The sequence below is a fragment of the Homo sapiens genome, chromosome 18 (assembly GCF_000001405.40).
Source record: "Homo sapiens chromosome 18, GRCh38.p14 Primary Assembly".
Classification (NCBI taxonomy): Eukaryota; Metazoa; Chordata; class Mammalia; order Primates; family Hominidae; genus Homo; species Homo sapiens.
In genome coordinates, this window is record NC_000018.10 from 58,139,241 (window position 1) to 58,166,532 (window position 27,292).

At 44.1% G+C, this 27,292-nt stretch overlaps 1 protein-coding gene across 35 annotated transcripts in view; it reads left to right on the forward strand.

The window, feature by feature from the left end:
- The window catches only part of NEDD4L (NEDD4 like E3 ubiquitin protein ligase), a 357,315-nt gene that overhangs the window by 95,015 nt on the left and 235,008 nt on the right, over nt 1-27,292 (forward strand). For 28 of the 35 annotated variants that reach the window (XM_006722426.5, XM_047437406.1, XM_047437407.1 and 25 more), the window contains one exon: nt 26,548-26,621. In XM_006722426.5, the coding sequence (XP_006722489.1) occupies nt 26,548-26,621 (74 nt within the window). Of the gene's footprint in view, nt 1-10,079; nt 10,330-26,547; nt 26,622-27,292 lie in introns of those variants that run through there. The other 7 variants (XM_024451134.2, XM_047437414.1, NM_001144971.2 and 4 more) reach the window with 2 other exon arrangements.

The window sequence follows — 27,292 nt, forward strand, 5'->3', positions numbered from 1 at the left end:
AATTTGGCCACAATAGGATTCCTTATTATCTGTCTCTTCCCTCCCAACCCCTCCCCCGACCCCCGCCCCATACAGGAGACCCTCAGATACATTTCTGTCAGTACCCTCAGTTACATATTTTGGGAGACGTAATACTTAATGAACCAAAACTCTGTTTTGCTGGCAGGGAAAAAAATTGGGCTGATACAATCAAGATAATCCTATCAACTTTAGGATTATTAGGAATGTTGATAATCCTATCAACATTCTATCAACTCTGTAATCAGAAAAATATATTTAAAATAATGCGTGTTTGTTAAAAATAACCAAACAAAATACAGAAAAAAGCAAAGTAAAAATTGACAATCCCCTAACTCCAGTGTTGGTAGTTAGGGACAGAAGAAGGGTGGAGGATGTCTTTTGTCTGTGTTACATGATTACAGCAAAAGTCACTCTTCATTCTGGTAGAGCCATAGAAATCTGGCCGAGCAGAGGCAGCTGTGCCTGAGGAGCCTGACTTCGAATCAGCTGTGTTCATCTTTGCTAACCTCCCAAAGGGAGGAAGCTCAGGAAACCACCGTAGAACCCCCTAAAAGGGGAGGGTGGCTACAGCTGAGCAGGTGGGGGCAGGCAGGAGTGGAGAGAGGCGAGGATGATGAGTCAGGCAGGTGAGATGGAGGCTTTGTAGGTTATGTTAAGGCTCCTAGACTTAGCATTTCAAGCAGGGATGTGACCTGATCAGATTTATATTTTGCTTGCATTGCTGATGGACATTGGTTCAGTGCTCATTGTACTGGAAGGGTCAAGAATAGAGGCAGGGACCCAAATTTAGGGGGCTTCCCAGGGAATCCAGGGGAGAGGTGTTGTGGCCTGGACTAGATTTGGAACATCCAGAAGGGGACTGGAGCAATGACATACCTATACCTAGTCCCAGAGGGCCCCGATCTAGCTAAGGACAGAGCGTGCAGTCTTGCAGCTGCTGGGCTGATGACATGCTGGGGAGTGTATACCTGGGAAATTCTGGTACAGAGATAAAGGAAATGCTCAAGCCTCCACCTATGAATTTGCCCGGTGATTAAAATCATACTTCCTAAGCTTTATAGAAGCCCTCTGTTTGTCCCACAAAGGGCCACTAGCACAAGGAAATACATAATGTGTTCCCTTGTCATTTTATAAAAATGTAGACTGGTGCTGCCTGCTGTGAAAATGCCAGTCAGGTTGCTTCCTTCATAGTAATCAGTGGATTCTTTTGTCCATTTCTGAGTGGAGGATTAGCCCTCTGTTTGCCCCACAAAGGGCCACCAGCACGAGGAAATACATAGTGTGTCCCCTTGTCATTTTATAAAAATGTAGACTGGTGCTGCCTGCTGTGAAAATGCCAATCAGGTTGCTTCCTTTATAGTAATGAGTGGATTCTTTTGTCCATTTCTGAGTGGAGGATTCCTTTCCATAACGTGGTGTATTTGCAGTGTTTCTCTCAGAGGAGGAGTGCCTTTCTGGTGTCATCTGTCCTGTTGGTGGCAGAGTTCTGCTGCTGAATTAAACCTTTGTGTCGGCCTTGGCCACTCTTATGGCTCTGCTGGAGGTAAAGCCAGTGGAGTGGCCTTGTGGCATTTGCTCCGAGTTGTTGCTCATTTTTCTGAGATTATCAGAGGCCTTAGAGGGAAGCATTGAGGATTTCATTATGCTCCGATAACTATCACGTTGTCAATAATATGGTTCTGATAAGAGTGATGGGGGATGGTGGGGTTTTGTGAGTTGACAGACGTGGGTTTGAGACCCAGCTCTCCAGTCAGAAGCCAGCGCCAGGCCTGTTTCTCTTCTCTGAGTTTTAGTGTCCTCAGGTGGAGGGGAGGATAATATTAATAACACCTTCCTGATGTGGCTCCACTGGGCTGGCCACGCCATGGGCACCCAGCACGGGGTGGCTGCCCTGGTTCGTGTTAACCATCAGCAGGGTTGGAGAGCTCCCTCCTTACTGGTGTTGGAGGTCATTACCTGGCGGGGGATGTGGTAGATAAAGCACCTTTTATTGTCCCTACACAAGGCAACTATGGGGTAACACAATATAAGTTATTCAGATTAGAGAAAATATGAACTCTTGCTACAGTGTTACTGCAGACAGGCACATATGGTTTGTTAGGATGACATTTAAAAAAAGTCATTTTGAGTTACAGAATAAAATCAAACAAAATTCCTTTAATCACCAGGGCTGGGATGGAAATAAGGCAAAATGTTGATTCCTTTGAAAGACAATTTTTGGGTTTTTTTTGTTTTTTTTAAAAAAACTTTATGTGTTGATGGTTTACTCTGGTCTAGTCGTTCCTACTCCTATTCTGAAAGCAGGCCTTGAATTCCTGATTGTGTACAGGATTGTGTACAAACAATCAGGAATTCATCATTCATATGAAGAAGTTCTGTTTTTCCCTCTAGTGTCATGAATATTTTCATGTACGTATATGTTATGTGACTAGTGTTAAGAATGCATGTATTATATATGTGCATGCGTCTCATTTACATTGAATGTAGCTAAAAGGAATATTTGAAAAGTATACCTTGCCTGTCTCCAATTTCTACATTTCAAGTTAAAAATGGGAAATAATCTTAGAATCCATGCCTGTGGTTCATAAGCCTGGCTCAGCTCTTGCATTCCCAGCTACTGTCTGACGAAACTCACAGGAGCTGTGAAAACAACGCTGTTTTGTGAAAGCCAAGTAGGAGCTTAGGGTCATGGCAAACTTCAGAGAAATGTAAAGGAGCAGGCACTGTGGGTTTTGTCTACCCCACCCCCCCGACCCCACTGCCTTCCAAAATTTCTTTCTTTTTTTTTTTTTTTTTTTTTTTTGAGACAGAGTCTCGCTCTGTCACCCAGGCTGGAGTGCAGTGGCGTGATCTGGGGTCACTGCAAGCTCCACCTCCTGGGTTCACGCCATTCTCCTGCCTCAGCCTCCCGAGTAGCTGGGACTACAGGCACCCGCCACCACGCCCGGCTAATTTTTTTTTTATTTTTTGTAGAGACGGGATTTCACTGTGTTAGCCCGTACGGTCTCGATCTTTTGACATCGTGATCCACCTGCCTCGACCTCCCAAAGTGCTGGGATTACAGGCGTGAACCACACCGCGCCCAGCCCCAAAATTTCTAATTGAATTTTAACCTTCCACTTTTAAGTTCTGATCCTGATTTATAAAAACCTATGTAATTTTCTTCAGCTTTCAGAAGGAATGTCTTGTATCTTCCTATGGGGGTGTTGGGGGAACTGATATTGACAGAGGTCCTCTGACATTTCATAGCCTGGCAAATAGGGTCAAACATGTTCCAGACCTCAGAGGATTGCTGAGGATAGCTTTCTACTTAAGCTAGATAAAAGAAGTTTTGGGAATCTTACCTTGCACTCTGTTTTGTAGAAACAACTGTGTTTAATATATTTCTCATTACTGGCTGAATGACCTGTATGTGTTCAGGAGATCTCTCTATTTACCATTTTAATGCCACATATTTAATGAGCATTCAGGCCCAGACTGTGAAGACTCTGGAAATGAGAATTTTGTTTCCTATCTCCTGTGCTGTAACAAAAGCAGCTTAAAAATTGCAGTGTATAGACCTCACCTTTTATCATTTTTTTTTCAGATTTTTAAATATTAATATTAAGGGTCTTTATCTCAGATGTTTGTTGTTTACCAGGTCATCAGTATCTGGACGCTGGCAGGGTCCTTAGCAATGGAGGGAGGGAGAGGGGGTCCAGCCTGCATGATTGGATCAGTGTTGAACCTGTCCCACCTGTGGGGAAGAGGCAGCATGCGGAGCAGACAGGTGCCTGCTGCAGGTCAGGAGAGCTGGCCCCAAGTCCTGACTTGGAGGGAAATGGTACATATTAATATCCTTTAGTGCCAGGTACTGGCGTAGCTAGTTTATATGCATCACTTGAGCCCCCTTGCATCACTGGCATCACTTCAAGATAGACAACAAGGGGAATGCACATCATATCCCTGTTCACTGGCGTTCACTGGTAGGGAAACTGAGGCTTAATAATGTGCCCAGGTACACACAGCTGATAAGTAACCCTGCACCCTCGATCTCACAGCATGACATTGGAATCCACCTCATTAGACAGAGCTCAGCTGCCTATTCTGTCAAAAATGTTGAGTTGTATCAGCTGCAGTGTCTGTAGTATTCCTAGACATTTCTGTGATTCTCATAAGTATCTTTGAAAGGGGGCCATTTAGTTTATTTCTGCATTTCTCCCTTATCTGCCGAAATGCCCGCAGGCTCTGGGACAAGCTATAAAGCTCTCCGTGTTATGCTGTGTTGCAAACCCAGTGCCAGTAATGATGCAGTGCTATTTAAAGATAAGAAAGCAAGCTCACAGAGGGAGAGCGCAGCAGGATGTTTATGTTCCAGAAGCATAAACACATGACCTGTGCCCGTCCCGTGTTCTTCGTCCATGTCCCCAGAGAGGCCGTGGATGGGATGGTGCAAGAAACCCATCAGGAAGCAGAATTAATCCTTCCTGCGGGTGGTCCCTGTGAAGAAGACACAGCGGCCGGTGGTGTGACAGCCCACAGCTGTCGAAGGAAGGGAGAAGAGAGGGACCGAGGGCCAGCAATAGGGTTTTACAGCTACGTGCTAGGTTGTCTCACATCTAGGAAAGAGAATGTTCATATTATATAGAAATGGGCATTTTCCCTGTGGCCTGATATGAGGTATCCAGAATATTCCTTTAGGTATTATTAAGTCATAGGTTTCTGTTTTGATAGAAACAGCAGGTGGTTCAGTTAGTATTTTTGTTGTTGTAATAGTAGCTTAGATCTCTTGTTTTTGTTTTCTTTGGCCAAGACAGAAAACATTCTGCCACACACATTACTTCATGACTCTGGTTATATATTGAGAGCAGCATTAAAAAAAAAAAAAAGTCCAATTTAGTCCATTAGGCCATTCTTGCATTGGTATAAAGAAACACCTGAGACTAGGTAATTTATAAAGAAAAGAAGTTTAATTGGTTCTTGGCTCTGCACGCTGTACTGGATGATACAGGATGCATGATGCTGACATCTGCTCGGCTACTGGGGAGGCCTCAGGAAGCTTCTAATCATGGTGGAAGATGAAGGGGGAGCAGGCATCTCACGTGGCCAGAGCAGGAGCAAGGGGTTGGGTCACACACTTTTAAACAACCAGATCTCATGAGAACTCACCATTGCCAGAACAGCACCAAGCCATGAGGGATCCACCCCCATGACCCAAACACTTCCCACCAAGCCCCACCTCCAACACCGGGGATTATTGTCAACATGAGATTTCGGGGACAAACATCCACACTATGTCGTAGCCTTAAGGGGATCTTACCTCTTTGAAGCATTGTAGAGTTCAGAGAGTAGGACATTTTGTCTACTGTATTTTAAAATACTAAATGTTCTGATTATGAAAGTCAGTCCTGGAAAAAAAAAACAAACAAACCTGAAACCATAGATGAAGATAAGGAACAAAATAAAAATTACCCACAGTCTCCCTCGCGTGTACCGCACAGTTCATGTTTTAGTGTGTCTACACACCATTTAATGCAGGTGGACAGACTCAGGGGCAGGTGTGCCTTGCTACTGCTATGTCCACAGCACCTGGCAGAGTCCCTGGTACAGCATAACTGCTCAGCAGTTGGGTGCTGAGTAAATATTAATACATGTGCATGTGGTACCAGTCAGGGCCCAACAGAGGGACCTCATGCGAGGAGTTGCTCCACAGGTGTGGAGGATGAAAGAACAAGTTGGGGCGACCCTGAGAGAGCCCAGAGACAAGCTCTGCAGGAAGCAGGCACCACCACTGGGCCAGGTGACCTGAGCCCAGGAGCCAAGAGGATGCCCTCCACTGCTGATACTACCTCTGCAGTGGGACGACATCGGACCCCACTGCCGATGCTGGGACGGTGCTTCCCCTCCCCCTGAGGCTCTCCTACCAGGGCCCCCTCTCATCAGGCCCCAGCTGGAAGCCAACTGGAAAGGGAGTCGGGGAAGTTTCATTTGTGGGGGTCCAAGTGCCAAGGGACAGACAAGGGAAGGGTGGATTTGCAGCTAAGAAGATAGTAAATAACCAGACTACGTGACAGTCTGAAGAATCAAATCTGGAATCAAATTCTACTCTGCTCTAATGTAACCCTGTATTTTACTGTGAATAATATACCGTGGGTATCTTCCTTGCTTGATAGATACAGCTCCACATAATTTTTCTCAATGAAACAGATTCTGGAGTAGGCAACGTTTTCCTCTTTTGTAAAATACACCAAATTGTGAGGATTGAATGAGATAATGTCAAAGTATTAGTACTTTACCCTAGCTGATTGACAGTATCCAGTGATAGTGATAATAAGGGTAATTACTACTCTAGCCAATTTTATCAAACCTATGGATGTTTAAGGAATTGGGTTTTTTTTTTTTCTCCTTTGATGAATACTCCTGTAAATACATCGTTGCCTGCTTGTCTGAGTCTTTCTGTGGGTTTTTAGAAGTGGATTACTTGCAGCAAAGTCTCCTCTACTTAAGGCTCTTTGTATATTTTGCCTAATTGTGCTCTAGAAATACATCAATTTCCAGTCCTCCTTCTCTCAGACCACCTGTCCCTCACATTTTCACCAGTTCTGGGTCTTGTTATTCTTTTTACTCTTTGTCAGTCAGGTGATTGAAAAATGTACATTTTTTTAAAATTGGCATTTATTAGTGAGCTTGAGGATGTTTTTCACAGTCATATGGAAACAGTTCTGCTTCATGAACAAGACCTTGGGGCCACATACTGGCTTGTTCACCTGGATGCATTTTCTCAGTCTCCCTCAGAATCATTTTTCTCCCTGAAAAATGGGATTAAAAGTATTAATAGTAGTGCCCATCTCACAGAGTCATTGCGAGGATTAAAGAGAGGATGCATAGACGTATTGAATCAGTGCTGGGTTCTGGTAGATGTTCAGCTAGCCCTAGAGATTATTAGCCATTTGATGTGCTGATCCTCAGGAAGGTGGGCGGGAGAGACCTAGACGCAGAAAAGGAGCTCTGGAGTTGAGGTTTCTAGAGATGAGGTGGTGCGTGGTGGCCCAGTCCAGCATGGCTCTGGGTGTGAGCACAACATAGGCAGATGTGTCTGGGGCTCAGGGAGTCATTTGTGGATTGAGGGTGCTATGTGGGTGTGGACCACGGTGATCCAGGATGATGCAGGATTTGGGCCGGGGAGGAAGATGGCAACCCAGGTTCCATGCCATCTTTAAAGAGGGGATGGTTACTAGGGTGTCCAGCGACCAGCCAAGTGGCCTATAGATAATAAGGAGGACTCTTCATGACATGGAGGCTGAGGTGGAAAGTCCCAGAGTAGGGTTCAGCCCTGGCCCTAAAAAGTGCCGGAGAACCTGTAGCCTCCTGGAAGCTGTGCTGTGTGCAGAGCCAAGCTTCAGTGTGACAAGGAATGGTGGGAGCAATTTGGAGAAGAATGAAGACTTGGTGCAGTGGCTAGGGAGGCAGGCAGGGTGAGGATGTGGAAGGGTGCAGAGCTGCTCAAGGTCAGCTTCCTGAGCCTGCGGTGTGGTCCCTTGCTCCACACTCAGAAGGGCCCTGTGTTTGATTTAATGCTCTTTTCTTGCCATCTTGAAATTCTTGATAGTTTTTGAACAAGGGATCCATGTTTTCATTTTGCGCTGGGCCTGGAAATTACGTTGCTGGTGCTGAGGGGATGTGCAGAGCAGAGGTGGGCAGAGAACTGACGAGAAGGACACGTGGGTAAGGGTGGGATGAGCTGGCCTCAGGACTCCGAGCAGAGCTCATGTAAAGGTGTCGGGCCCAGGATGCGTTCTCAGGCTGGGGTGGGAGGCCTGATGATGGCAGATTTCTCTGGATTACAAATAGAATATGTAGCAGGGTGGTTCATAGCTTTGTGTGTCTGTGTGTGCATTGGTAAATTTTTATTTTGAAACTAAAATTATTTCAAAATTAGAGAAAGGCTGTGAGAGTGCGGTTGAGCTGGTGTTGGCTCTGGAACAGGGTTTCCCAATGCAGGCGGCACTGGTAACTATGTGCCTTGGGTCATTCTTTGTTGTGGGGGCTGTCCTGTGCCCCATGGGATGTTCCCTGCACCCCTGGCCTCTGCCTTCTAGATGCTGGGGGGCACTTTCCCTGGTGTAATATTAAAAAAAACTCTCCACGTTGCCACATTTGGGGGGCAGAATCACCCCCTCCCCGAATTGAGAAGCTATGTTATTGGAACACAGTGTCCTGTATTTTGTCTAGCCTCTGCTGCTTAGAGCTGCCTGAGCTTGGAGAAGATACTTGTTCTCTTTCCAAAGCTTCACTGTCCCTTTCTGTACATTGTCAGGACGGCTGTTAATACCACTGCTCTAAATGTGCTCAGTTTTGCATAAACATCAGCTAATGTTAAAATTTTAATCTCTGCTAATATAAGAGGCATCGAAGTACACGCGAGTTCAGTTTGCATATGGTGAGGAGGGAGACGGCCTCATATCGTATGTGTGTATTTGCCGATTCTATATTTTGAGGTTGATTCCTGTTGTCTTTTGTTCAGTTGTCTCATTCTGTTTTCTTTTGGGGCTTTGAATGCCCTTTTCATGCCTGTGACCTCTCTTTACTATGCCTTTTCTTCTCTGCCAGCAAATCTCATCCATTCTTCCAGGGCACCTTACTGTCCCCCAAAGCCCCAGTGACTGCTCTGTCCACAGGGCTTGGTTTCTGTGCTCTGGCTCTGCAATGCAATGCAGAAGGGGCTGGGCTCGGAATGGGGTTGCTGGTCAGGCCATGTGCCCAGGGGAAGGACACAGGACTCAAGGAGTCCACCCCTCTCTCCCCCCCTTTTTTTTTTGGTCACTGAAATATTTTCTTTCCAATTCTACTAGTCCTGCTAGAGCTGCCATAACAAAATACCCAATTGGTGACTTCAACAACAGAAATTGATTCCACACTGTTCTTTTTTTTTTTTTTCTTTTTGAGATGGAGTCTTGCTCTGTCTCCCAGGCAGGAATGCAGTGGTGTGATCTTGGCTCACTGCAACCTCTGTTTCCCAGGTTTGAGCAGTTCTCCTGCCTCAGCCTCCCGAGTAGCTGGGACTACAGGCACATGCACTGTGTCTGGCTACTTTTTATATTTTTTAGTAGAGATGGGGTTTCACCATGTTGGTCAGGCCGGTCTCGAACTCCTGACCTCAAGTTATCTGCCTGCCTCAGCCTCCCAAAGTGCTGGGATTACAGACGTGAGCCACTTCGCCTGGCCATGATCCCGCACAGTTCTGAAGGCCAGAAGCCAAGATCAGGAGACCAGTGGATTGTTTCTCCCGAGGCCTCTGTTCTTGGCTTGCAGGTGGCCCCTTGCTGTGCCCTCACATGGCCTTTGCCCTGCATACATCCGAAGCCCCAGTGTCTCTCTGTGTGTCCAAATTTCCTCTTCTTAGAAGGATGCCGGTCATATTGGATTAGGGCCCACCCGTGTGACCTCATTTTACCTTAATAACCTCTTTCAAGTTTCTGTCTCCAAATACAGTCACATTCCAGGGGCTAGAGCCTCAACATGGAAGTTTTGGAGGGAGACACACTTCTACCCATAACACCAATGTCATATTAAGCTTTATGGAAGAATAGACCAATATGTGGTGGGTTCAAGAATCTTTTCTTAGAAGAAAAGTGAATCTGTATATTTGATACTTTATGATTTCCTTATTTGCTCTAAGCAGTTGGTAAGAATCTCAGTGTCACTTGGCTGAATGATACACTACTGGTGCCTCCAGACCTATGAGGAGCCTAATATTTTTGTCTTGGTTGAAACAATGCAAATCCTGGGTTTTGGAGATGCTCACAGCCAGCTGTCTGATTACGTAAACTGAAAGTGGCAGAGAGGAAGCTTTTGCGTGGGGAAAACATGAAATATACAAGGGTTCCTTTAAAACAGAGTGTACTTCTGAACATTTACTGAAGGTGGAGGGCCCTGGACACCTGATGTTATCTTATGTGGCGTTATCTGGGTCAGATTTCATTGCATTTCCTGAAGAGGTAACTTGGCAGTCCTGGGAGAGGCTGGACCTTGGTGTCCAGGTGGCAGGTTCATAAGACACCTGTGATTTGATGTGAGCCAGTCACAGAGGAAGCCATTTCCAGAGAGGAACAACCGTGTAGACTGCTTTCCTGGGAGTCAAGTTAAAACTTCTCTCCTGTGACCTTGTCACCCGGCAGTGGAAAGTTACCCTTGGCTGCAGCCACGACTTCCGCATACTCTTCAGAACTTGCTCTGCCCTTGAGTTTTCCAGCTTTCCTTTAATGCACTAAACCTTTAATATTGTATTCTCCTAAATGAGACGTCTCGCATTTGAGCAGGTAACACTCGGTAAGACTTTGCTTGGTGGGGGAGGAGGTTTTACCTTCCTGTGGCATTCTGAAGCTCTCCACATCCACCCATAGTCATGATTGTGTTATATGACCTCAAGATGCTGGAGCTGTTAATTCATCTTTAACATAATTGACCTGATTACTTCTTTCTTGAAGGATTTTGTTCAAACCTCAGGGTTTATTTAGGAACAAGTCTAACCAGGCCTGATTGGTTTTCCTAAGTGGAGATACAGCTTTGGGAAACAAATTAAGAAAATGAATGGATTGAAAATGTAGGAACACCGTGACAGTTGTGAATTTTTCTTATTGAGGGAAAAAATGGGTATCTGTGAATATTTCTCTTACACTATATAGTGAGAAATGACACTCTGCTGTGGATGGTAATTTATTTCTGTGTAATTGCCTGAGTAAGGCTTTCTCTGATATTGAATACTGAGTAGAACTCTTAGGTTATTTTTGGAAGAATTATGGATTTTCTCTTAGGTTTTAGAATATTTTTTGTTTGCCTGTTAAGAGAATTTGATGAAGATTTCAATGTAATTAACCAAATAAAATGGCATTCTGTATCCTGGGAAGGGACGATGTCTTTCAGTTCTAAATCAATGCATCATTTACCTCCTATCTCTCTTGCTGGCCGAGCCATCAATCCTGTTTTTATTAAATGTTGTTGTTATTGTTTTGAGACGGAGTTTCACTCTTGTTGCCTAGGCTGGAGTGCAATGGCATAATCTCGGCCCACTGCAACCTCCGCCTCCTGGGTTCAAGCAATTCTCCTGCCTCAGCCTCCTGAGTAGCTGGGACTACAGGCATGCGCCACCACACCTGACTAATTTTAGTAGTTACAGGGTTTCTCCATGTTGGTCAGGCTGGTCTCGAGCTCCCGACCTCAGGTGATCCGCCTGCCTTGGCCTCCCAAAGTGCTGGGATTACAGGCGTGAGCCACTGCACCCGGCCGTTTTTTGATAAATTTTAAACTTCTGGTTTGAAACTTTTGTTTCCTGTGCTTAAAAGGAGACAGTTAAAAGCACTCTGATTTGGACTGACAGAATGTTTTTTAGATGTTAGATAGATCTAGCTTTGAATATTTATTTGCAGAGAAGTAGCAGGGAGGACTAGGAATGACTTTTTCTTAGGAGGTGCTATGCATTCCATCAGGTGACTGACCCCTTTGTGAGCTGTAGTGGTCAGTCCCAGCATGGCCCACACTTGTTGGCTGTCTTAGCCATGGTGGCTGTGGTTGGCGGGTACCCAGCCAAGGGTTTTCCATACTGGGGGCCTTGGTCCAGTGGGGGCGGGTCGTACCATGACCCCCTTCTCCTGTGATCTTGCCTCACTGGCCCAGGTAAATTGGTGGACGTCCTTGACTCCTCCACCTCCAAAAGGACTTTGAACTTTGGCACTGTTGGGAGTTTAGGCTACACCTCAACCAGGCAGAGATTGGGATCTAACCTACTTTTAAAAGCCCTCTACAGGGAATTTCATAACTTTCCTGAGTGTTAGGTTTTGGTGATTAACAGCCTTGACTTTTTGGAGCCCTTCCTTTGCCAAACATGCATTCCTCAGGTGCTCACTTAAAATGATTCTTCACAATATGCCTATAGACGGGTCTGTCTGGTACAGCATCCTGGAGTGGTGTCAAGGGAAAGAAACATGCTGCTTCTGCCACAGACGGACCATGCATGGGAAGAAACTATTTGAGAATGGCTCTCCAAGGGGCTGGTCGGCCTTGTCTGCCCACTCCCTCTACCTTTCTTTGTTCTGTTTCTTTCTCTTCAGTGTTGGTCCATTTTCCTTTTTTCACTGTTGCGTGTTAGCACATCATTACTCTTATCTCCATATATTTGGATGTTTCCTGCATTATGGTGAGCTTCAGTAGGTCTTGGATGAGTTAGTTGTTCTCATTCCAAAATGTAAATTTCTGGTGTTTAGTAGGTGCTCAGTAAAGCTTGAGAAAGATGAAAGTGAGAGCCCAGAACTAGTATAAAAATACGGATACCACCATAGCATGGTAATTAAAGGGGTGATTGTGAAGATGAGGTAGCTGTGCCTGGATATGTGTGTGTGTGTGTGTGTGTGTGTGTGTGTGTTGGCTGGAGAAGGCTTACCAGTGGTGCTGGACATGTCGGGTAGAGTGTTAATAGTAACTTAATTGACTGAATTTGGAAATAATCTATGGGGTTAGAGAGCAAGGAGGTAGCTGTGTAAGAGGATGGGGTCGGTGAGGTGGGGTGGTGTGAGCAATGGAGCTCAAGGGCTCAAGGTGCAGGCCTGGACTGATGGCCACTAGGACCACCCCAATGGCTTCAGGGTCAGGACAGGAAGGGAATGTGATTATTGCAGCAGGTAGTAGGGCAGTATGAGTGTATTATTCATATATGTGTGATGAAATGGAGCATCAAATAATATATCCCATAGGATAGAAAGGCACAGTGAGTGAGTTTGGGTTAAAAATTCGATGAGATAAAGTGGTTGTACCTCCTATGAAAACAATTTAATTTCTTATTATGAAGGCATTACTCATGTTCTTCAGAAAAATTAAAAAAAAAAACTCAGTCATTATAGACAATTGTACTCAAGATGAAAACACCCTGTACTGTCGCAACCCTGAAGCACCTCTGTTAATATGTGTGTGTCTTCTCACGGGGTGATTCTTGATCAGAGTTACTGAAACAGCAAGGCTTGGGAACAAGAGGCATGAGAGCAACACTCAGGACCTGTTCAGTTTTCTGCACAGTTCCAGGTGCTCTTCCAGCATTGCTGGCTCCGAGAGAGTCAAATATTCAGAGCTTGCAAGCTGGGGAGGAAAGGGGTTAGGGTGGAGATAAAGATCTGGGAGATCTACAGATACGGATCATCTGCATTTGGAAATTTTGTTTGCCCTTCTCACACATTTCCATCCAAGTTTTCTTTGGGGAAGAGGGGATCCCTGCAGAGGAGTCCAGTTGCAAATGTGAAATCTTAAAAATGTATGTAAATAGCATCTTTCATTCCGTGATACTTGTTTGTTTGAATAGAACATTGTTAAATTTTATTGTGCTTCAGAATCATCTGGGTGCTTACAAACATAGATTGCTGGACTCTGGTTCTGGAGATTCGGATTCTGGAAGTCTGAAGTGGGGCTTGGGAATCTCCATTTCTTCCAAGTTGCCAGGTGATGCTGATGCTGGTAGTCGGGAGTCCGTACTTTGAGAACCACTCTTCTACCTACCAAGACTTCCAAAAAATTGGTACTCTGGGAAGATGCCCTGTGCCAGTCCTGTGGCTTCTTAGGCACGTCTTCCAGCATAGACTCCTGCAGAGAACCTGGTACCTGCAAGTACCTAGTACCTGCAAGTACCTGCAAGTCCAGTGTGGGAAATCTCATGACAGGCATCAACATTCCGTGACGGTTGACAGCCACCTATGGGGTGGCTGATGCCTTTTCTGTGTCTTCAGGGTTTTAGGGGAAGGAGAGTCTAAATGAGTGGTTCTAGGTTGTGGGAAGAGCCTGGCTTTGATGTTCAGACACCTGGCCTCAGGCTGCATCGCCCATACTTCCTGTGGAATGGTTATCATGAGTCCTGTTGTCCTGTAGGTGAATCATTGATTCCTGTCTTTGCATAACCTCTCACTTGATGATAATTTTTTTTTAAAAAAATGACTCTTGGAAACAGAACACACAGTTGTAGAGGGACCTACAGTACAGCAGAAGCTTTGTGGAAGGATACAAAATGTGAGGGACTGTAGTCGAAGAGATTTAAATTGGAAGTGGGAAGAGATTGACTTTTTTTTTTTTTTTTTTTTTTAAAGACAGAGTCTTGCCCTGTGGTCCAGGCTAGAGTGCAGTGGCACAATCTTGGCTCACTGCAACCTCCGCCTCCCAGGTTCCAGCGGTTCTCCTGCCTCAGCCTCCCGAGTAGCTGGGATTACATGCATGAGCCACCAGGCCCAGCTAATTTTTCTATTTTTAGTAGATATGGGGTTTCACCATGTTGGCCAGGCTGGTCTCGCAAACTCCTGACTTCAGGTGATCTGCTTTGTGTCTCTTAGGGAGCATGTTTGAAGAGTCAAAGGAAAACCAAGTCTGTTAGCTTTGCGAAACGTTTTTTTTTTTGAGATGGAGTCTCGCTCTGTCCCCCAGGCTGGAGTGCCGTGGCGCAATCTCGGCTCACTGCAAGCTCTGCCTCATGGGTTCACGCTGTTCTCCTGACTCAGCCTCCTGAGTAGCTGGGAGTACAGGCGCCCGCCACCACGCCTGGCAAGTTTTTCTGGAATTTTTAGTAGAGACGGGGTTTCACCATGTTAGCCAGGATGGTCTCTATCTCCTGACCTTGTGATCTGCCCTACTTGGCCTCCAAAATGCTGGGATTACAGGCGTGAGTCACCGCACCCGGCCCGAAATATTGTTAAAACCAAGTACCTTTGTGAAACATTGTTACAAAAACCAAGTACCAAGTGTGTGGCATTAAAGTCAAACATTAATTTCAAGTTACAGAAAGAAATAGCACTGAGTAGAGGTTGATCGATAAAAAATGAATAAAATATTCAACAGAAACTCCTTAAAAATAATGTGAGAAATGGACATGTGACATGGGCGTTTAAAAAGTCTGTAAGGCCAAGAAAAGTTTCCTGAAAGGAACACTGTGCCCAGGCAGTCCTGGCTTTGCAGGATTCCCTGATAACCGAGCTCAGGCATCCTGCAGAGTGAGTACTGCCCAGATAGAACCTTCTGCCTCTTTGGGGTAAAATTCGATTTCAAAGAGAGAGAACTGTGGGGTGAGAAAGGAAGACTGGGACCCAAGGGGCCAAACTAGTGACAATGACTGCTGTCATGAAGGGTGACAAGGACAATACCTGCTGAGCTCAAACCACCCTTTGGACCCAGTGAAGCTCAGATGTTGCTTCCAGTGCAGGAGTAGTTAAGCTCAACTGTTTTACAATATCCAGTTATTTGGCTGGGTGTGATGGCTCACACCCACACTCCTAGCACTTTGGGAGGCCAAGGTGGGTGGATTGCCTGAGCTCAGGAGTTCGAGACCAGCCTGGGCAACATGGCAAAACCCCATCTCTACTAAAAATACAAAAAATTAGCCAGACGTGATGGCAGGCGCCTGTAATCCCAGCTACTTGGGAGGCTGAGGCACGAGAATCGCTTGAACCCAGGGAGGCGGAGGTTGTAGTGATCCAAGATCATGCCGTTGCACTCCAGCCTGAGTGACAAGAGTGAGACTTCGTCTCTAAATAAATAAATAAGTAGCAAAAACAATCCAGTTATTCCTCAAATATTTATGAGCACCTCTTAATGTTTCAGATACTATTGTGACAAGAGAAAAATGTGTTTGTATATGTAAATAGAAAAACAAAAGTGATGTGGAAGCGATTACTTCTGTCATTTTGGAACTACCTTCCTCCCATATTAAGTCCATATTATGACAATTCAAAAATAATCAAACTTCGTAAGATATTACCTGTGAAAGGAATAAGTATTTAAAAATGTATTTTAGATGGCCTTTTAGAAATCTAGTCCATGGACACAATCTAGCATCATGCAGTTGCCTTCAAAAAGAATATCCTAAAGTTCTTGTTTGTTTTCTTTTTCCTTTCAAAGTGTTCTGTTGAAAATAACCCATTTGTCATTTTAGTTTTGATATGACTTAGTTATACATGCCTTTTGAAGCAGTACCCACCCACATAGTAATTGCGACTATCTTGTGTTTTGAAAAAAAAAAAAGCGAGACAATTTGACTTTGATAGTTTTAAGTTTAAAAAAAAAAAAAAACGCTCCAAGTTAGACTCAGATGAAATCCTTTGATCTTAGGTATTTTATGAGGAAACTGGAAAAAATAATTTCACAAATTTCTATTTTGCTTTATAAAAATTTTATGATTCATAACACAGGGAAAATCCAGTAAGCTAAGGCGTTTTTTAGTCGTTTATCTTGCTAGTGAGTCTTTGATGTGAGTTATTTCTTTGCAGTAAGGTGGCATGGATGGGTGATGAGGCTAAGCTGAAAAGTTAAATCTCATAATGGACATTTGCACCCTTTAAGGAAGTAAAGCTCTCAAAGCATGATTATGGCCAAGATGAGGCCGGTGGCATGTTTGTCTCCTAAATGTGCAGCCAGGAATCTCGACGGTTTGTCTGAGGTATGCAGGTGCCTGGTAGATAAATTAGGGTGAGCATCATTCATGGCGTGTGGTCAGTTGCAGGCCTTCAGCCACAGGGATGACAGAAGGGAAGTGAGGAATCAGGGATGGGTTTGAACTGCGGCGTTGCTTTGGGAGTCTCTAGACATGATCAGTTGCACATGGACTGTTCTCCTTGTCACCCTCAGGATCTACTGTCCTGTGGTTGAAGCCTGCAGCTCTCCCAAGTTGGTGGCACTGGGCTTCCTGACTTCTCGATGTCTAATGAGACAGTGGAATTCTACTTGCAGCCCCACTGCAGGCCAGGTTTATCTCTCCTCTGTCTTCCCAGCTGGTGATTTGGTTTCTCAGTGCTGTTTTGGGTGCACTTTTGTGGAGGATTCAAGCTGGTCCTTAGCCACTCCTTGAACCAGAACCTCTTTTACTTTCTTATGTAGTTCTTCTCTTCCTGTTTTTATATCCTAAAACTAGTCCAGCGACCAGCCCATCGTAGTAGAAGCGTTGGTGTTCTTCCTAAAAGGAATTGTAAACATCTCTTGGAGAGTGGGTTAGCCACCATAAATTGTTTTGGGACTTCGGATACCCCCTTCCGCAAATGCTATCTAGAGATGCTTTAATTTCATTTCAATTGGTTATTGCATCCCTGATATTTTGAAACTGTTATGAGTAGAAAACATTCTGGTTTATGAACAATCTGCTTTTCACTATGAAATAGATGGGAATTTTAATTATTCCTGCGCTTTGTCTTAGAGAAGTTACATGCATGCATCAAGTGTTGTGTGATCTTGTGCAGTTCTTCTTAGATTGAGTTTTTGGCTCCTCGTGTGCAGGCCTTCTAAAATCACAATGTCCCTGAGTTGGGAAGGAACATCAGGGGCTATCTGGTTCATTATCCTACCCCCCACCGCCTCCCACGCCCCACATTTCTGGCAGCCTACGAGTCTTTGGTCCCTCCCCAGTGCTACCTGGCCAGCTCTCAGCCTTGGGAGGCCACCTGCCCGTGTTTGACCTGGGTTAATGACCGCCAGTTCCTTTCCCTTAATACGACTCATCTGCTCTCCTGCATGCTCGCTCCTTGGGTGAGAGCTGCCCTCTGCAACCTCATAACGGAAAATGGCTTGACTTCTGCCACCTCCTCCTCCTTCCCATGAAAGAATCTGGTCTTTTCTATCTCTCTATTATTTTTAAAACCAGATTAGGTTGGTTGTGGTGGCTCACACCTGTAAAAATCCCAGCACCTTGGGAGGCAGAGGTGGGCAGATCTCTTGAGCCCCAGGAGTTTGAGACCAACTTGGGCAACATGGGGAAATCTCTACCAAAAAAATACAGGAAAAAAAAAAAAATAGCTGGGTATGGTAGCACACACCTGTAGTCCCAGCTACTTGGGAGGCTAAGGTGGGAGGATTGCTTGAGCCTGGGAGGTCAAAGCTGCAGTGAGCCTTAATCACTCCAGTGCACTCCAGCCGGGGCAACAGCTAGACCTTGTCTCAAAAAAAAAAAAAAAAAGAAAAATAAGAAAAAGAAACCAGATTAAACATTCCTAAGTAATTCTTTTTGTGACTTTTGCCTGTTTATTAACTATCCTGGCTACTTAAAATGAATTTTTGAGTTATGAATACATTTAGATGGTTTTAAATTCAAAGAAGTCTCTTTTTTCTCAGTCACTTCCATCCCCAGCCAAACAGTTCTTATCCCCAGAGTCAGCCAGTGTTACCAGTTTCTTGTGTCCATGCAGTTTGCTTTATGCATTTACGTAAGCAAATATTCGTACACACACACACACCCTTTCTATCTTATGGAAAGTTATTTCAGTGGCACATGTAAGTATCTCAGCATCTCTTGATTGTCATTCTTTTTGGATTTTTTTTTTAAATTTCATACTTACAAATGATCATGTATCTTAAGTTTTCTGAAGTAGCCTTGGTTTCGCATTTTGACTGTATTTATTATGGTATCAGGTTCCATATTTCTTAAAAGTAATACTGCTGCTGCACTTACATTGAACAAGTCACCAAGCTCTGTTAATTTTGCCTGAAAAATGCCACTGCTTTGACATGATAGAAAACACAGGCAATAGTCTTTATTTCTCACTGCTGTTTTTTTCTTATTTTGAAGAATCACCCTAATACATAGGAAAATCTCGACTTAGCAAAGAGATAAATGAGACTGTAATTATTGCATTGGGTTTTTCACAATGTATGTTAGTTATCTATTGCTACATAACAAATTAGTTTTAGAGTTAGCAGCTTATAAAGCAACAGATATTTATTATCTCACAGTTTCTGTGGGTCAGTAAATCAAAAGTGGCTTAACTGGGTGGTTCTGACATGTGCCTTTCCACAGTGACTGGTATGTAGCAGGCAAGGGTCTCTTATGATCCTGAGTGAGGATGTCAGCCAAGGCTGCTGTCATCTGAAGGCTTGACTGGAACAGAAGGACCCATTTCTAAAATGAGTCACTCACATGGCTGGAGGCAAGAGGCCTCAGTTCCTTATCGCAGAGATTGCTCCTTGGGGCTGACTGAGTGTCTGCACATCATAGCAACAGCTGGCTTTCCCCAGAGGGAATGATCCAAAAGAGAGGTGGAAGCCTAATGTCTTTGTGACCTAATCTCCAAAGTCACACACTGTCACCTCTTCCATATTCTATTAGAAAGGAGTCACTAAATCAGATACCCATGGGAAATTACCCACCTCATGAAGAAAGAAATATCGAGAATTTGTGGACCTGTTTCACAACCACACAGCATCATTTTTTGAAGGTAGAGTCACCTTGAGCATTTAAATTAGGGTTCTGCTCTAGAAGTCTATCCCTTTATTTTTTCCCATTTGTTAACCCTTTTTCTACTTGGCATAATAGCAGCCATTACCCAGTAGAAGTTGAGAGATTTAGGTTGCACAGAATCCCACAGTCTTTTCAGAAACTCATATCCTTAGGGTGTCTGCTTGTTGACAGCATTGTAGAATTGAAACTTGACCACGTGTTATGTGTTGGGCTGCCAGTGGTGATCAGAGATGACGGTGAGTAGTCCGTTGAGTTAGGGCTGTTTGCCTCTGTCGGTGTCATCTGGGTTTGAACTGGACTTGCAGTCCTGGTGGGCTGCTTTCATTTCCACCCTGGGTCTTTGTTCTCACCACTCACATCTTACGCCTCTGTTCCACCGCTGTGTAAGAGGCAACTGTGCACACACCTTGCCTCTGCCATTGACTGTAAGCTCCTGAGAGAGAGAGAGAATGTGTCTGGTTCAGTTTTGTGGCCCTCCTTTTTGCTAGCATAATGCATTGAACATAGTATCATTCTGCATTTTTGTTGAGTGTATAATTAGATGGTCAATGTGGAGAACTCAGAGGGATTTTAGGAGGGGGTGGCAGCAATATAAGGTTGTGGGACCCAACATTAAGAGAGGGAAAGGTGTAGCGGGAAGGCGTTGGTGTGGGGAGGGAGAAAGTCAAGAGGATTCAACCTGGCAAGAGTTGGAAGTGACAGGAAGGTGTGTGGGGTGGGGACGCAATAGGACAGTGTGTGAGATTTTTTAAAAAATGCAGGCAGGGGAGGGATGAGTAGGCAGAGCACCGAGGATTTTTAGGACAGTGGAAATGCTCTGTATGATACTATAATGGGGGATACATGTCATTATACATTTGTCCAAACTCAAGGAGTGTACAACACCAAGAGTGAGCCCTAAGGTAAACGATGGGCTTCGGGTGATTTCGATGTGTGAATTGTAACAGGGATACTACTCTGGAGCAGGATGTTGATCATGGGGGAGGCTGTGAGTGTGTCGCGGTAGGGGGTACGTAGGAAATCTCCGTGCCTTCTGCTCAATTTTGCTGTGACCCTAAAACTGCTCTAAAAAGAGTAGTCTTAAAAATGCATGAAATAGGATCCTGTCTCAGGACTGGGGCAAGAGCAGGTAGAAATGGAAAGAGTGACTGTGGCTGCTGTGTAGCAGGCACACAATGGTCATGGTCCATATGCTGGCTTAGTTATTTTTTAAAGCAACTAAAGTTAAGTAATGTATACGTAACTTACATATTTATGTGGTCCAAAAAACGTTGGTCATCTGTTTTAATGCAGAGAGTGTTTACCCTAAGCCTGCAAATGTGATGGGTAATAGCTAGAACTAGAAAAGTACTTTAGAATATGGAAGGTAAATACATGAATTAATTTAGGTAAGAGTGACAAAACAGTGGAAGTCCCTGACTTAGAACTTATTGTCCGCTTGGACAGCTGGTGTACGTGATCCTGGGGTCACAGTGGCTCCCTGTGCAGGAAGAACACTATTTCCCAGCTCAGATACCATCTTTTTAGGAGAGTACCTGCCATTGTGGAAAATAAGGATAAAGGATAACAAGTTACCTCCTTAAGACAAAGTCATAGGAGAAATGGTAAATTCCAGTATCTTGAGTTTTGAGTTGGAACTTGAAATTTATTTTACTACAAGAACACTGTTGATGGATTATGTATTTTATAGACTTTGTGGGTGGCTATGGGACTCTAGTAACTGCTTATGCACAGTTTATATGAGTAGGGCTGCTGGATTTCCAGATGACGCTCTCGCAACTGAACCTTCAGATTACCACCTGTTTCTCAGTTTGGACACTATTAGTGTGCTGCTGTCACTTATGGCTCGGGCACCTTATCTTGTTTTATGTCTTGATGAAGAAGTACAAAATTCAGTGTAAAAGAAAAACATATGTAAAGCTTATAGAATCACCCCGTTACACAATAACAATGCAGAACAATAGATTAATAACAGGAAGAGATGCTGAAACTTCTCTTCAGCCTAGTTTCTACTCTGATGTTTCTTCTCTGCATTGTACAGCCAATCTATGAATAATATTTTCATTGTCTAAGCAAAGCCACCTTAGCTAAATATTTAATTCTACTGGAGTCATAAACAGGGTTCAAAATATCACACATAGATTTTATGAAAGTAATAAAATGCTTCAGAAAGTACAGTGGCTCAGCCTGGGGCCACTGCATCTGATAATTTGGTTACACACCTTGTCATGTGCTTCCTAAAAGAATGACGATGGTTGCTTATCTGTGTTTAAGCTTGTCATTTTGAGGAAACAAAGATAAGACATTTTTGCTGTGTCTCTAAAATGCATGTGTAAACTATTTTTATAGAGTAATGCTTCAGAGAGGAGTAAAATTTCCTGCAACAGGTGCTTGTAAACAGTAATTGCTCAGTAAAGGTCACCTCCCAGCTGTTGCCTACATGTTACATAAGAGAACCCCTTCACGTCTTCCGTATTTGCAGCTCTGTACCTTTGTGAGTCACCTAAAAAATAACTCATAGGGTTGTTTTTCTTTCTTTCTTTTTTTTTTCTTTGAGACAGGGTCTCACTCTGTCGCCCAGGCTGGAGTGCAATGGTGCGATCCCGGCTCACTGCAACCTCCGCCTCCTGGGTTCAAGCGATTCTCCTGCCTCCATTCTCCTGCCTCAGCCTCCTGAGTAGCTGGGACTACTGGCATGCATCAGCACGTCCAGCTAGTTTTATATTTTTAGTAGAGACAGGGTTTTCACCATGTTGGTCAGGCTGGTCTTGAACTCCTGACCTCAAGTGATCCACCCATCTTGGCCTCCCAAAGTGCTGGGATTACAGGCATGAGCCACCGTACCCGGCAGGTTTGTTTTTCTTATGACAAAATCAAGCCTGGATGGTGTCGTTAACGGTGAAGTTAAAATTTTTCTTTTGCTTTCCTTAATATTTCCGTGTTTTTTTCTTTTTCTTTTTTTTTTTTTTTTTAACAAAAGTCTGGTTTCTAAACCAAAATATTTAATGCTTCAAAAGGAAAAAAATGTAAGTCAGTCCAAAGAAATGATTCATTTTGCAGAGGTAATTACTACTAACATCAACCTTTCCAGGTCTTTTTCTATGCAGCTATATCATTGACATTTTTTTAAAAATGAGATTACATTGTACTGGAGGGTAGACTGCTATAACAACTTTTGGTTTTGGATGGGAATAAACAGAAAAAGTCTCATCTCCAGTTCATTTCTGGGGAGGGTCAGGAGGTGGGGGGTGCTTGGCTCTACTCCCTTCGTATGATTTTCCCTTCTTTATCTCCAGGATCTTCCCCATTTCACGGAGAGACATGGATGAGAATGAAGGCTGCTGAGTGGGAGGGGCTTATGGGGCCAGTTTTGAAGAGGCCTCATACCTTTTGGCCACATTCCATTGGCCAGAACTTTGTCATATGACTGCACCTAACTACAAGGAAGACTGGGAAATGTAGTCAAGTTGCATGTCCGGGTAGAAAAGGGACACTTTTCTGTGGAATAGCTAGCATGTTTGTAACTCAATTTTATAAACCATTTTGAAACTTTTCTTAAAAAAAGCTTATTTCAGACACATTTTTATATGCTGGATCTGCTCACCTCTCCATCTCTATCTTATTAAAAGTTCTTGCCAGAATCTCTCTCCAATTGTTCTCCCTCCTTCTGCCCTGTTCCCTCACAGCAGCCACAGTGGTTCTTTCAAAGACTGAAGCTACATTTTATCACTCGCCTGCTTAAAACTTTACAGTGCTTCTCCCCCAGTGGTCGGGATAATGTTCACCCTCTCCTGAAGCTGGCCTCTGTGGTCCTTGACCCCATCAGGTCCCACGGTGCCCTGCATGGACTCTGCCATCCTTCACCAGCTTCCCCCCATCAAACGGGGCTTGCTGTCAGCTCTTCCTGCAACTCCCAGCCCTGCCGCACCACTCAGCCTTCTTCCTTCAGGCTTCAGCTCCAGTGTCTTTTCGCCAAAGAAGCCTTTCCTGATCTCTCAGCCATAAATGTTCCTCTCCCCAGTTGCTTTTTCCCTCTCCCTCTACTCAGTTGCTTTATTTAACTGTCATATTGTCTTTGGAGCACTTGCCACCATCAGAAATTATCTTGCATTATGTATTTATAGTCTGTCTTCCGCCTACTAGATGGTGGGTTGCTTGAGGCAGGAACTCTGTCTTGTTTACATCTCTATCTCCAGATAACGTGTCTGGCACGTGATGGGTACTCAGTAAATACTTGTGGAATAAAGAAATGTCATTACAGGTTCTCTATGCATTAAAATTTTTTAGAAATGGGGTGTTGCAGCCGGGCGCAGTGGCTCACGCCTGTAATCCCAGCACTTTGGGAGACTGAGGCTGGTGTATCACCTGAGGTCAGGAGTTCAAGACCAGCTTGGGCAACATGGTGAAACCCCATCTCTACTAAAAATTCAAAAATTAGCTGGGCATGGTGGCACACACCTGTAATCTCAGCTACTTGGGAGGCTGACGCAGAAGAATCACTTGAACCTGGGAGGCAGAGGTTGCAGTGAGCTGAGATCCCGCCACTGCACTCCACCTTGGGTGATAGAGTAAGACTCTGTCTCAAAAAAAAGAAAAAAAAAAAAGAAATGGGGTGTTGCTATGTTGCCCAGGCTAGAGTGCAGTAGCTTTCCACAGGCTTGATCGTAGCGCACTGCAGCCTTGAGCTCCTGGACTCAAGTGATCCTCCTGCTTCAGCACCTCCCCGAGTAAGTGGTACTATAGGTACTTCAGGTTTTGAAGCATGTGTAAAAAATACTCTAGCAGGGACATCATTTGAGCTGAGCAGGCCATGGAGGCATCAAATGATTAGCAGTAGGGTACAACTTGTTGTGAGAACCAGAAAAGAGCCTTGGCCTACATAACATCCTGTGCTAAAGAAAGAACCCTGACTCCCAGCCTGTGAGTGTTCCAGAGATGGGCAGAGCAGTCCCTGCAGCGCTTCAGGGAACAGGGAAGAGCAGCTAACCCCTGATGCTTCTGTAAGCACTTTGGGACGCCCTTTGCTATAGTAGGGTATTGTCTTAGTTATCCCTGACTTGCCTGGTGTTACTTTACATCCCTTAATCCTTTCATGAAGACTGGCAAACACATTCAGTCCTGCCAACCTTGAAAGTAGGCCATGTTTGAAAGAACATTGGCACAAACGAGTTGCGAACATCTTCTTTACCATATTCATGTTCTTTACCGTATTATGAGGACACTGTGCTTGCCACATGGGCAGTCTTGTTTTGGGGATACGTGGTTGGATGGACGGTTGGGTGGATGGAAGACTCCTGGAATGTGAAGTATCTCAAGGATGTGTGTCCATTGCATGAATGTATGTTTGATCTATGCAGCTAATTGACAAAGATCCACCATCCTGTACCCTCCATGTTTTATTTTTGCCCTGCCATTGTTCTCTTCGACATTCTATAATCATCAAGGTTTTCTTGCCCTCACCTAGGTCTTGACTAAACATGTTGGGTAAATGAATTTCATATTACTACTTTCTTGCGCCGTCAGCCATTGTGTTCTTGGGGACTCCATCCTGAGCCTTTTTTTTTTTTTTGAGACCGAGTCTCAAAAACAATGAAGGCAGGTGACTGGTGAGGAGAGTTCCAGCCACTGGATTCTCCCTCAGTCCCCTGTGCTGTGGCCCTTGGTGACCCCTAGATTTCAGTGCCCCTGCCTGACACTGGAGTCCCTCTGTAAAGAAGCCCCTTTCTAGCTAGCTAGCTGTTCCATCCCGCACACCCCCACAGAAGCCTTTTGCTGCCATTAGTAAGCACGCCTCTATTTTCTCACCTGTGATTGATCATGCATGATTGAGTTTTGTCTATTAAAGCAATTGATAAGTTACTAAAATGGCACCAAAAGAAATTAGAAAAAAATTGTTGCAAATGTCAGTGAAATCTTTTAAAAAACTGTTGTACTTTAGAAGTGCCTCAAGTGACTAATGGAGGCTTAGGACTCTGAGTGGTGTCGCAAGGAACCTTATGCACAGGGACACTGACATTAGCCTGTACTGTCACCCAGGCTGGAGTGCAGTGGTGTGATCTTGGCTCACTGAAAGCCCCACCTCCCAGGTTCAGCAATTCTCCTGCCTCAGCCTCCTGAGTAGCTGGGATTACAGGCACATGCCACCATGTCTGGCTAAATTTTGTATTTTTAGTAGAGACAGGGTTTCACCATGTTGGCCAGGCTGGTCTCGAACTCCTGTCCTCGTGATCCGCCTGCCTCGGCCTCCCAAAGTGCTGGGATTACAGGCATAAGCCACCATGCCTGGCCCCTGGGCCATTTTTTATTCTTACTCTTAGGCTAGGTTTCTGCAGACCTTGGTTATAACTGCAGGCTCTACATTGATAACTGCTGAGTCTCTAAGTCAGACCAGACGTTTCTCCCCATTTAGTGATACATGTTTTCCATCCAATTGCTTCATAGACACCTTGGACACAGTGCTCTATTTCAATTTATGTTGACAGTTCATGACCCAAACTGGAAACCTGAGTTATCCTGGACTTCTGCCTACCACCTTCTCCTAAGCCATCTCACCTGTCCTAAATGTCGTAGCCCTTATCTAGTTCTCTAAGCTGTCATAGGGTCCTGTACTGCTGGGCTGCTTGTTGCCTTCAATAGAGCCTGGAGCATATTCATGTCGGTATTTCAAGGCCCCGGGCATAAGAGCTTCTTAGGAAATATTGGAATGAATGAAGAAATGATGAATAAATGAACAAATGAACAGTTGATTGATTTCCAAGACACTTTGGGGTGGTTTCCATTTAGAATGGTTTTTATTTCTTTTTACTGGAACTAAGGAATTATTTTTGCTTGTTGATGCCAACATTTTAAAAGCACTATAATTTTGAAATGTTTTACCACATTAAATTCTTTTCTATTGCAGGTCACATACAAATATGTCAACTTCAAAGGAGGAATTATTTGTTATATTTATGCAAACTTGTGGCACTTGGACATTTATCTAGATGGTTTTTTGTGTATGATTGTGTTCTTGGTACAGCTGGAAAAGCTAACTTTAAATGGCAGGAGTAATTGATCTTAATGACTTACTTTGAATTAAACTTGTGCTTAATTAACTTGGATGTTCTAAGTTTCTAGAGTCACAGACTTTTAGAGCTGGAATATTGCTTTTTGAACTTCAGTGTAAGGAAGAATTGCTTATGCTCGAATTGATTTGTTCTGTATCCCAATACTGGACTGAGTAGAAATCAATTACTTTAATATTGGATGAGAGAGTGATTGATTGAAGATCAGGTTTTTAACCTCTTTTTTTGTTCTCCTTCTCACAGGGAGAGTCCCGTATTCTCAGAGTAAAAGTTGTTTCTGGAATTGATCTCGCCAAAAAGGACATCTTTGGAGCCAGGTATGTTGGCTTTGTTTTTATTTCTGTGGACTTCTGAAAAATTGACAAGCAGTTTTCAAATTCAGGCACGCATCAGAATCACCTGGAGGACTTCTTAAGACAAAGCTGGCTGGGCCCCACCTGCAGGGATTCTGATTTAGGAAGTGATGCTGGCCCAGCTGGTTCCAGGAGCACATTTTGCACAGGGCTTCTGGACTTACCATCACAACAGTAGTTAACAGCCTGTTCTTCACATGGGCTAATTTCATGAGATTAGCTTCTGGTGTTGTATTCTCAGTAGAAAAATACAGTGTGGGACTATGGCTCTGCTTATTTTAATACTTCAAAAATATTTCAAACTTAGGGAAACATAAAAGTGTCATTTTGTTTCTAGGAGAACTGGATATTCTGGACATGTATAATCTGAATTAAGAGATTTGGTGATTTGGGGCGAATGTGGTGATTTCTGTGGCATTTCTAGAAGTACCAGCAGGGAAGCAGCCAGATCTTTCTGTGTGTTTCAGCTTTTTTATTTTCAGTATTGCACTTGGATATTCCTGTATCTTTAAATCAGCCCTTTTGTTCCTATTGGCTGTCAGCAATGTGTTGCATGAAGTTATTGGACTGGGAGCAGGGTGAGGGTAGCCGTAGAGCCACCTGGCACTAGAATTTAGCCAGATTTTGGAGACCAA